The sequence below is a fragment of the Homo sapiens genome, chromosome 20, assembly GCF_000001405.40.
Source record: "Homo sapiens chromosome 20, GRCh38.p14 Primary Assembly".
Lineage (NCBI taxonomy): Eukaryota > Metazoa > Chordata > Mammalia > Primates > Hominidae > Homo > Homo sapiens.
Window position 1 is genome coordinate 10,193,427 of NC_000020.11, and position 12,273 is coordinate 10,205,699.

Genomic DNA, 12,273 nt, shown 5'->3' on the forward strand with positions numbered 1-12,273 from the left:
TTTCCTAGAACTCAACTATTCTTCATCTAAACCTCTCTCTGGCCGAGTTCAGTTGGTCCCATGGCTTTAAATAACACCTATAAGCTAAAGACTCTTGAGTTATAACCCGTACTACAGCCAATTAATTGCATTTACGGCCCCAATTAATGGCCTTTCTATATCCCTCTCATATCTTGACGTGAGCTGTTGCAAAGTCACATCGCAACAACTCACATCAAGAGGTGGAATCTATTTCATTACCCAGTGAATCTGAACTGGCTCTATAACTTTCTTTGGCCAATAGAAGGTTGGGGAATACCAACTGCATTACCAACTTTAAGCCTGTGCTTACTCTTGGAGCCCTCCGTCTACCATATGATCAAACCCAAGGCAGCCCACTAAAGAATGAAAAACCACATGGAACATTACACTCACTGACAATCAACCAACCCCTGGAAGCAAAGCCATCTAACCAACTTGCAGCTGACTACTGATGCATGAGGTAACTCAAGCAAGACTAAATGAGTCCCCCCAGCTTAACCCAGCTAAATAAACAACCTGCAACCTCATAGGGTAACAAAATAGTTATTGTTTTAAACTGCTGACTTTTGGTGTGGTTTGTTACACAGCAATAGCTAACTGATATACCAGCTTAGACATATGTGTAGACACGTATTCAACACCAATCTACACTTCCATGTAGACATCTCATAGCCATTAAAAAAATCTATACCAAATTTGATGTTTACCCCATCTAAAAACCTCTTCAATGTTTTCCTTTTGAAAAGTGGCCCCCTTATCTGTCCAGTTCTTCAAGCCAAAACTCTGGACGATACCATTTAATTCTTCCTTTCCTTCACTTTCCACATTCAATCCATCAGAAAGTCCTGCTGATTCTAATTTCTGAATTTTTCTTAATCCATTTAGTTCTGTCCACTCCACTCACATCATTTCTGCCAGTCTAAGCTGCTAGTGTCTTATGCCAACAGCACTACAGTAGCCTCCTGTCTGATCCCTTCTGAACCTCTCCAAACCTTTTTTACACAAAAGCTATTTTTGGTTTAAAAATCCTAGAAGATCATGTCGGTTCCCTGCTTAAACCATTCAGAAACTTCTCATCATGCTTAGAATCAAATCCAAGCTGAGTATCATGGCCCATGAGACCCTCCATGACCTATTTCCTTTCCTTCTCTCCAGTCTTTCTTCCCGCCACTCTCACTCTTTGACTTACTACATTCCAGCCACATTTGCCCAATTTTTTTTTTTTTTTTTTCTGAGACAGTGTCTTACCTTGTCACCCAGGTTGGAGTGCAGTGGTGCAATCCCAGTTCACTGCAACCTCTGCCTCACAGATTCAAGCAATTCTCCTGCCTCAGCCTCCCTCCTGAGTAGCTGGGACACCAGGAGCATGCCTCCATGCACAGCTAATTTTTATAATTACATGTAGAGAGGGGGTTTCACCATTTTGACCAGGCTGGTCTCGAACTCCTGACCTCAGGTGATCCACCCACCTCAGCCTCCTAAAGTGCTAAGATTTCAGGTATGAGCCACCATGCCCAGCCCATGTTTGCCCTCTTGCTTCTCCTGAAATAGCCAAGCTCTTCCTCATCTGAAGGCTTCTGCTCTTGCTCTTTAATCTGCTACAAAAATCTCTTTCCTTGCTTCTTGCTCTTTGCCTGGTGTCTTCCTTTACCTCTTTCTTATCCCAGATTAAGTCTCGCCACCTTTTGAAGGCCTTTTCTGGCCACCCTGTCTAAAGTGGTCTTCCTGTCCCACCATTTTTCTCCATTGTCCCATCCTATTCAGTTCATTGAAAATATTACGATTGCTGATTCTTGGTGTATTTACTTAACAATATGTGTTTTCTTGCCTGTCTTTTCTACTAGATTTGAAATCCCATGGGGGCAGGATACCATGTCTACTTTGTTCACTTAGCATCATAAGTGCTTTCCACAATTTTTGGCCCATGGTAGGCACTCAGTAAACATTAGTTTAATAAACTAATCTAAGTCTTCCAATAACACTATCAAGTAGATTTTTATTATCCTAGTTTTACAAATAAGAAATTTGAGGGCAGGCATTATTTGTATTACTCATACTCAGAGTAGAGAGACAGTACGGTAACCAGGCCAATATGTCAGAGAAGTGGAGTGGGGACATGAACCCTATAGTTCCTATACAAAGCCCAATCTTTAATTGCTCAATTCCCATGACTTGAAAAACAAGCAATTGTGCTCTTGAGGGATGGAGTGTTGTAAAGGGATGTGAAGAACAGAATGCTCCAACCCAGACAGGTGTTTCCCCCTCCTTGAACTGATGCTGCCACTCCAAGAGTCATATCCTCACCCAATTAAATCCAGATGCAGGAAGGTAGGGATAGACAATAATGGCTCTTCTTCATACTTTCCACTCAGAAAAGAGGAAAATAGTTTCCTGAAGCCTTCAGTGGATATCTAGTTACATTTCATTAGCCAGAATTTGGTTCCACTCCCACTACTATCATTTGCAAGGGAGACCAAGATTGCCACTCCTGATTTACGTTCATCACCATTCATCATCACCTGGGCTAGGCTGGTTCCACCCAAATGTATCAAGATTCTGATATCTATGATGGAAGGGAAGAATGGCTATTGATCATACCAGCAACAGCATTTGCCATAGAAATTGAATTACTCTAGGTTCTTTTGTCCCACTTTATTCTAGAAAATATGGATGTTATGGATTAAGTCCATGGACTAAGAAACTTAGAGCTCAATCTGATGATACTGAGTCTTGAAAAAGTTAGTCTACTCTTCTCAGTAATTGATGAACCCATATGTTGTATCCAAATAGTTCCAACCTCCCAGCAAAGCATAAATTTATATACCTGGCATAGAATAACAAAACCACACAACATAACAAGGCATTGTCCTAATGATAAACCTAAAATTGTCCTGATAGATAAATCCAGCCATGTTTTAAATTCAGCACTTTATAAGCAACCTAAATATGCTAATATCAAAATAAATCCCTTTTGGTAAACCTCAGTGTTACCTTGTTCTCTTCCCCATAAAGACAACTTTTATTTTCCATAAAATTCAATCTACATATTTCTGTTTTACCAGCAGTCATACAAGAGTTGTTGAAAATTATTTATAGATGAATAGAGGCAAGTTTGGCGTTGCAGAGCTGAGCTTTGGCTGCAAATTGGGAGACTGGGTTCTGGTCCTAGAACTTCCAAAAACTAGCTGTATGAATTTAGGCAAGTTACTTCATTTCTTCTTTGGTAAAATATGGAGATTAAAAGGATTATATCTGATAACCCAATTGAAACCACTTGAACAATATATTAGTAACGGTAATTGATTCTAGCTGTTACAACAAATGGCCCCCAGATTATAGTAGTTTAACATAATTAAAGTTTATTTCTCACCTAACAGTCCAGTTGGATTCATGAGGCATTTTTGCTGTCTTTCCTCCAGGCAGTGTTTCAAGAACCCAGCTCCATTCATCCTATGATGCCACCATCCTCAGCATTTGACTTCCATGGCTCCTGTAAGAGAAGAGAACATGAAGAACAAAACAGGAGGTTTTTATGGGAGGCATGTCAATTTGACCAGATACTTTGCCCAGAACCTTGTCACATGGCCTCTGCCTAAATGACAATGAGGCTAGTGGCTGGGTGTGGTGGCTCATGCTTGTAATCTCAGCACTTTGGGAGGCTGAGCCAGGAGGGTCTCTTGAGCCTAGGAATTCAAGATCAGCCTGGGCAACATAGGGAGACTTCGTCGCTACAAAAAAAAATAAATTAAAAATTAGCTGGGCATAGTGGCACATGCCTGTAGTCTCAGCTAGTTGGGAGGCTGAAGTGGGAAGATCACTTGAGCTGGGAGGTTGAGGCTGCAGTGAGCCGAGATCACGCCACTGCACTCTAGCCTGAATGACAAAGTGAGACCCTATCTCAAAGAAAAAACAAAAAATGAGTCTGGGTAACGTAGCCTGTGAGACCAGAAAGAAGCATCAGGATTGGCGAGTATTAATACCATCTCTACCATAAACATTTTTGGAAATATTTCTTTTTTTTTTTTAGAGAAAGGGTCTTGCTGTGTTGCCCAGGCTGGTCTCAAACTCCTAGCCTCAAGCAATCTTCCCAACATAGCCTCCAAAAGTGCTGGGATTACAGGCATGAGCCAACAAGCCTGGCCCTAGAAATATTTCTTTCTCTAAATTCAAAGTAACTAGGGGGAATATTAATCTCATTCTAAATATTTTATTTTGTCACTCCCTATCCTTTGTTTTCAAACACCTCACACTACTATTATGTGTTATCACGAGTCAACTGTTTACATGTCTATCTCCAGCTGTTGGTTGGGAGCTCACTGAAAAAGGAAACCTTTGTAATTCATTTTTGTATCCTGAGGGCTTAGCACAGAGGCTGGCACCTGTTAGACCTAAGAAGGATTGGCAACTCTGGACAAATCAGAGAAGGAGCGTTGTCAACCCTTTTCTCCTGGTGATGATGATGGTGATGGTCAATGTCCACTCCCAAATATCTATATTGGGAAGAGGTGGTTTGTAGGGTGAGCATTTGTCTTTTGAGTGTATACTTGAGGGAGGGATGAAATTATGTTTGTTTTATACTCTAGAAAAATTGGCTAAAACAGCAAATGTAATTTTACAGAATGATGGAGAGGGCATACTGAGGTGGGAGGCAAATAATAGAAGGAGATGTAAAACTGTCAACCTTGATCCCCACAGTGATGGGGGATGATGACAGCAGGAGTAAGTTATGGGATGATTGTATGTTTGTGAACCTCAGTTCTTCTGCAGCATGAGCTGGCAGGATCCTCTCCTTGACCACCTCAGGTGACCTGCTGGAGCCCACTGGTCTCACCAGGAGAGGTCATCGGGCCACCAGACCAACTGAAGTAATAGTTCTTCTTGAGGACAGTCTCTAGCTCCCCCTCTATCCCATCCCACAGTCCAAAAATGCTACCCAGCATGGCCTAACCCAGAGTCTACCCCCAAATAAGTGATTCTGCAAGTTGCTAGAATTCAAAGATGCTCACACCCCAGAATTAGAAAACATCACTGTGGCAGTTTCAGGTTCTCAGCAAGCAGACCAAGAATGCACATGTGAGCTTCCTTTATTTCAAGTTAAGGATGCATTTTCGGTTTTTAAAGTTCAACAATAATAAAATCAGTTGAAAGCCCAACTTCTAGAGCAGTGCTATTCAATATACTAGCACTGGCCTGTGTGGCTATACAAATTTAAACTAATCAAAACTCAACAAAATTTAAAATGCAGTTCCTCAGTGGCAGTAGCCACATGTTAAGAACTAAATGGCCACATGTGGCTAGTAGTCACCTTATTGGACAAGGCAGCTGTAGTACATTTCTGTCATCACAGAAAGTTATGTTGGATAGCATTCCTCTAGAAGCTGCTTCCGTGAAGCTGTGTGCCAGCTTTCTAAGTCAAGTTCTGTCGATCCTATTTGGTAGAAAATATGATAAATGTTTTAGAAAATCACAAGAGGACTTTTATTTGGCTGAAATTTAAACATATGCATGCAATTTCTTAAAATATATTTTACATATTTGAAGGTTCAGTTCACCTTGGAAAGCCAAATTTCACATCTACAATATGAACAAAATTTCAACTTCCTGGAGCTCAGTGATAATTATGGATTATAGGTTAAAAATAAAGTTAATAACTCCTAACAAGAGCATGAGCAATGTAAGACTTTTTCCAGGTAACATTAGAAGCAAGAAATAACTAAAAAAGGACATTGCTTATTTTTAAGGGTATTATCTCCAAGTACATATCATTTTAAAGAATAAAATTTTGTGTTATCTTTTTCAAAGCACAGATATTTCTTGTACATGTTAACCTTCTAAGCTGCACAATAAGATATGACATCGTTTCTTTCCAAGAAAAGAAGTTAGTTCACCTAAGAGAAAAATGAATCAGCCTGGATCCTATTTTATTATTGGTCCAGGAGAAGCAAGGACCCTACCTGACTTCAGGGAGACCATCTGGGCTAGTTATTAGAGCTGTTTATAAAACCCTGGCTCTCCTTCTCTAGGGGTGTGGGAGGGCTCACTTCCCCACTCCCTAAAGTAAAAAAAGGCCACATGACTTGGCTTAAACATGAGTAAGAGTAATGAATGTCTCTTCCAGAAGAAGCATTTAAGTAACTGTGCTTGATTCATTCCCCCTTTCTCTCTACATTGACAGTCATGGAATCCCAAGTTGGAATCTCCATCAGCAGATAACCACTAGTGAGGACGATTAAGAAAGGCTCTTTTAATCTACATTGGACACATAGCAAGAGGAAAAATAAACTTTTCTTATATTAAGCCATTATGAGCATGAGGATGTTTGTTACTGCAGTATAACATGGCCTTTGCTGACCAATACCTCATCCAAATCTAGGTCACATGGCACCAAATGGCAACACGGTTCTGAGTCTTTTGTTTCTATGAATACAAAGTGAAAAAGCTATATGTGTACAAATCAAGAATCAGATAAAGGTGAAGAATCAAACTTGACGAAAGCAATCCTAGGGGCTGGGCATGCTGTCTCACGCCTGTAATCCCAGCACTTTGGGAGGCCAAGGTGGGTGGATCACATGAGGTCAGGAGTTCAACACCAGCCTGGCCAACATGGTGAAACCCAATCTCTACTAAAAATACAAAAATTAGCCAGCCATGGTGGTGGGTGCCTGTAATCCCAGCTACTTGGGAGGCTGAGGCAGAAGAATCGCTTGAACCTGGGAAGCGGAGGTTGCAGTGAGCCAAGATCGCACCACTGCACTCCAACCTGGGTGATAGAGCAAGACTCCCTCTCAAAGAAAAAAAAAAAAAAAAGCAATCCTAGGTCTGATTTCCTACAGACACTAAACATAGAAAGAAGAAATGGCTCATTCATGTGAGCACAAACAGTAAAGAGGTTTATTTAAACTCTGCTGTGAGCTTGGGCCTCCTTTCCTGCCTGGTTGAATTTAAAAATACCATATAGACTGTGTGTACCTAAGATGCTTTTCCTACAAGAGCCTTAAAATTTTCATTTCTCTCTTTCTAGATATGCTGCCAAGAGAATTTTTTTCTTTAAGAACAAATAAACTAAAGAAATTAACATCCAGCTTGCTGAGTCACTTGCTTTCCACTTGAATTTTAACTACAAGGATCTGAAGACAGCCTGTGTTAGGCAGAGAAAGAAAGAGACAGAGAAAGAGTCAGGGAGAAGAGAGGAAGAGAGATGTAGCTGGAGAGTCAGGGAGAAATTCAAAGAGATGGAGAGAGAGACTGGTTCTGGAAAGAAAAGATAAGTTAAATAGAAAAAGGAAAGTAATCTTTGAAAGGTTTGTTTAAGACATGTATTTTCTTACTCTGTAGTGGGAGCGCTGAATAAAAATATTTAAATAAAAGCTGTAATGTGATTAAGGTTTGAGTTGGGGTTTAATCGTGGAAAGAGCAAGGTATTTAGAGTGAAAGATCTAACTTTTGTATTTATTTTTCATTTTTTAGTGTTTTCGCTTTTTTAATCCCAGGTCCTCTACCATTGACTATCTGATGTTAACAAAATCAGTTCGCTTTTGTGTCTTGGTTTCCTCATCTATGAAAAGGGAATAGAAAAACTTACCACATAAGTTGGTAGGGAAGACACAATTCTATAAAATATATTGGATGATCTGTGAAACCACCTGACACCAAAAGGGAATAATAAATTCCCTTCTCTCTTCTTTTTCTACACCATCTCTTTTTAATTCTACCAGAAAGTTCCTTTCTCTATGAGGCTTCTTGAAGACTGGCTGTATACAGGAAAACTGTATTTCTAATTCTGCTATTTATTGGAATACTAGGTCAAGTTTTTCCTCCTTCTTATTCTATTTAATCTTCACAATAACCCTACATGAGTTTATCTTCATTTTACAGAGAAAACAGAGGCTTACAGAGGTTAAAAAAAAATTCCCAAATCCACACAGATAGTCTTTTAGTAATCTATTGCCATAATAATACAGTATTGAAATTTCCCCCAAATTCGGCAGCTCACAACAACCATTTTGTGTGACTCATCAACCTGTGGGTCAACTTGGCCGTTCTGCTGGTTGAAGCTGGCCTCAGCAGGACACACTCCTGCAACTATAGTCATCTGGGCTTTGGCAAATCCCTTTAGTCTATAGCCAAAGAGCAATAAGTGAGCAGCAAGAAACTGAATTATCTCTGACCCTTTTATTAAATAAAATGCTGATCTTGGGCCAGCTAACTAACCTTCCAGAACCCCATGCCAAGGCTTTCCTTTGGTCCAGTGCCTTAAACCCATGCAGTCCTGGGGTAGAGAAATGAGGAAGCCCATAATTCTGGCAGAAAGGCTGCCTCTCATTCCCAAATACCCCTGAGAGAGATGAATGATAGCAGGATGGAGCCTGCCAAGGGCACACAGACAGGGCATACAGAATCGTCCAACCTCTCACCAATTCAAGGGCAGGGCAATTAAGAGGCCAGAACTCACCACAGCTAGAAATTATTTACGTTAATGCTTTAGCACAATGTGGTCCACTAACCAGCAACATCAGCATCACATGGGAGTTTGTTAGCAATGTTGACTTTTGAACTCCATTCCAGACCCACTAAATCAGAATCTGAGAAGCACAGGTTCAGCAAGAATCGCACCAGGAGTATACCACTGGAAAAGCATGTGTAGCCAGATTTACTGTATTAGATGAATTAACGCTTCAAGGCCCAGCACCTTACTGAGTTTCTGACCTCCCACCCAAGCACTCAATACTTTCCCCTGTCAATTGGCCCTGCTCTCTGGGATGAGTGCCTGGTATTTTTGCTTGCTCCGTATGCATTTCCTTCTTGTTTGCCTCATTCTGATTTTTCCTTGAAAGGAGTTTCCTTCCCCACTCCTAGTCGATGTGTGTCAGGTTGACTTATCATGGCTTCTGGGAATGAATATATGACCCAGGTCTGACCAATTAAAAAAAGTAGGGATTTTGCTGGAACGATTGGAAAAGTGGCATGTTCTTTTCTGCTGTTGATGATAATTGGCTGAGTCTATCTGAGAATGAAATCAACACAGAGATGATGAGAGATAAGTTCCTGATGACATTGTTTGAGCACCTAAATCCAGCCTTGCTTGAAACTATAGATCTGATTCCAGATTTTTTAACTGCATACGCCAATACATTTCCTTTTATGCCTAAGTTATTGTGGTCTGGTTTCTATAATTTGCAAGCAAAATGGTCCTGGTCTGCAAAGCCACCCTATGTTGTAAGCTTGATGCCCCCCTCACAAGTTTTTGCCTCAACTTCCTGTCTCTCTTCTGTTTCCAATCACCTGTGACAGTCATTTTCCAATTTCCAAATTACGAAATTTTTACATATTATATTTGCTGTCATAACACAAGTGGGAATTGACCCCAGAGACTTGGGATAGACACAATTCTTCAATAACATAGAATAGGCCTGAAGTGCTCAGTTCTGTCTAGAAGCTCACTACTCAAATATATACTGTGGGGGAAAGTAACCGCCTGATGGTTAAAAGGCTGGCCCCGTATTTCCTCCTCTTCCTCAGTTTCCTCATTCATGAAATCAGCAGACATTTTGGAGATTTACTTCAGCCCAGACTTTCTAAGACACTCATAGTTAGGGGTTCCTGGTTTAAATAGATTGCGACAACTTAACATGCAGCTTAACATGAAACACAGATGGCAGAAAAATAAAAAGGTGCCTCTATCAGTTACAAAGAAATTGGTTGGGCGCAGTGGCCCACGCCTGTAATCCCAGCACTTTGGGAGGCCGAGGCGGGTGGATCACCTGAGGTCAGGAGTTGGAGACGAGCCTGGCCAACATGGTGAAACCCCATCTCTACTAAAAGTACAAAAATTTGCCCGGTGTGGTGGTGGGCGCCTGTAATTCCAGCTACTCAGGAGGCTGAGGCAGGAGAATCACTTGAATCCAGGAAGTGGAGGTTGCAGTGAGCCAAGATCATAGCACTGGACTCCAGCATGGGCGACAAGTGGGAGACTCCATCTCAAAAAAAAAAAAAAAGAAAGAAAGAAAAAGATTGGCTAGACCCTGTGTGTGGCATGACATCCTATTCCAACTAAACACAATGTTCTATTTTACAAATAAGAAAACAAGCTAAGAGAAGTTAATTGGTTTTCAAAAAGTCACACAGTACAGACATAGCAGAGGAAGAATGAGAACCTACAGCAGAGTTGAGAAGGTTCAACAGAATAACGGGTCATGTTTGGGCACTTGTATTCTGGAGCTGGCACCTGGGTCCTGGCACTTATTAGCTGAATGTCCTTGGGTAAGATATTTAACTGCCCTGTGTCTCAGTTTACTCATTTGTTCAATGGGCATTATAATAGTATAAACATCAGAAAGTTGTAGGGGGTTAAATCTCTAAAGTGTTTAGAATGCTTGCAACTTATAACATTTTATATGTGTGTTTATTAAATAAATAAAAATAAATCTGACTTCATGTCCAAAGTATATTTTTCATACCCTGCAGCTGTCCTGTACCAGAAATATCTCTTCCCACAAGATCTCTTTAACGACCTGGCAATGTGTGTAAAACCTCACCTTACTCAATTCTTAAAATTACTCTGATTTTCTAGCTTGGTGAGAAGTCTCTAAATGCTTACTATGAATTAGTTACCTGATAATCTATCCTTAGTAGAAGCTATCTGCCGCAGCAGATTAGGTCACTAGGGCTTCTTGAAGGGAGAAAGGAATTAGAAAAAAAGCATCGAGTGGATGGAAAGAACCAGAAAGAAACAAACAAGGCAACACCTATTAGTTTATTCATGGTTGACCCAAGGAATAGATTGAAATACCAGATGCACCTGAAAAATAATTTTTTCTCACTCTGGCACCCAAGCTGGAGTGCAGTGGGCTGGGTGGAGGGGGGAGGTCATGGTTCACTCCAGCGTCAACCTCCCCAGCTCAAGCGGTCCTCCCACTCAGCTTCCCAGGTAGCAGGGACCACAGGCATGTGCCACCACACTTGGCTACTTTTTTAAAAAAATTTTTGGTAGAGACAGGATCTGACTGTGTTCCCTAGGCTAGTTTCAAACTCCTAGACTCAAGCAATCCTCCCGTTCGGCCTTCCAAATTGTTGGAATTACAGGTGTTAATCACTGCACCTGGCCTGATTTTTTAATTATCAAATCATGTTCAGAACTCACTTCAATCCAATTAACTGAGGATTTCTGGAAAGGTTACCCAGGCATCAGTATTTTTTCACTGTGATAAAATACATATAAAATGTACTATAATAATTTACTTTAATAATTGTCTTGACAATTTTTAAGTGTAGAGTTCTATGGAATTGAGTACATTCACATGGCTGTGCAACCATCACCACCATCCATCTCTAGAACTCTTTTCATCTTGCAAAACTTAAATGCTGTGCCCGTTGAACAATAACTTTCTCTTTTCTCCATCTTCACCCTGACAACCACTATTTTACTTTCTGTCCCTATGAATTTCACTACTCTAGGTACTTCACGTAAGTGAAATCAAACAATATTTGTACTTATGTGACTTGCTTATTTCACTTAGCATAGTATCCTCAAGGTTCATCCACGTTGTAGTATGTGTCCAAGTTTTCTTCCTTTTTAAGGTGGAAAATATTGCATTTTATGTATATGAATTTTACATATCCATGCCTCCATCGATGGACACTTGGGTTGTTTCCCTCTTTGGCTATTGTGAATAATACTGCTATGAACACGGTGGGCAACTCCCTCTTCTAAACCTTGCTTTCAATTCTTTTGGATATATACCCAGAAGTGGAACTGCTGGATTATATGGCAAATTATTTTTAATTTTTCAAGGATACATCTTACTGTTTTCTATAGTAACTACCATTTTACACTGCCACCAGCAATGCACAGGAGTTCCAATATCACTACATTTCTTTCAATACTTGTTATTTTCAGGTTTTTTTCTTAGTATCTATTCTAAGGGGTGTGAGGTGGCTTCTCATTGTGGTTTTGATTTGCATTTCTCCAATGATTAGTGATATTGGACATCTTTTCATGTGCATATTGGCCATTTGTATATCTTTTAGGAAAAATATCAGTTCCAATACTTTGCCCATTTTTGAGATGGGTTGTGTGGTTGTTGTTGAATTATAGCTTTTTATGAATTCTGTATATTAATTCTTTATCAGATATGCTATTTGCAAATATTTTCTTCCATTTTGTGGGTTGTCTTTTCACTCTATTAATTATTTCCTTTGATGCCTAGAGATTTTTATTTTTGATGTAGTCCAACTTACTTTTTTTTCTTTTGT

General features: G+C 40.1%; 2 long non-coding RNA genes across 6 annotated transcripts in view; one reads left to right on the forward strand and one right to left on the reverse strand.

Moving 5' to 3' along the window:
- The window catches only part of LOC105372524 (uncharacterized), a 28,402-nt gene extending 20,998 nt beyond the window's left edge, over window positions 1-7,404 (forward strand). For 4 of the 5 annotated variants that reach the window (NR_187929.1, NR_187930.1, NR_187933.1 and 1 more), the window contains 2 exons: window positions 3,441-3,513; window positions 7,043-7,404. This is a non-coding gene — a long non-coding RNA (uncharacterized LOC105372524). Of the gene's footprint in view, window positions 1-3,440; window positions 3,514-4,378; window positions 4,539-6,196; window positions 6,323-7,042 lie in introns of those variants that run through there. The other variant, NR_187931.1, reaches the window with a different exon arrangement.
- Window positions 1-12,273, reverse strand: part of SNAP25-AS1 (SNAP25 antisense RNA 1) — a 195,695-nt gene that overhangs the window by 169,615 nt on the left and 13,807 nt on the right. Inside the window, exon 2 of the long non-coding RNA NR_040710.1 lies at window positions 3,392-3,511. This is a non-coding gene — a long non-coding RNA (SNAP25 antisense RNA 1). The remainder of the gene's footprint in view (window positions 1-3,391; window positions 3,512-12,273) is intronic.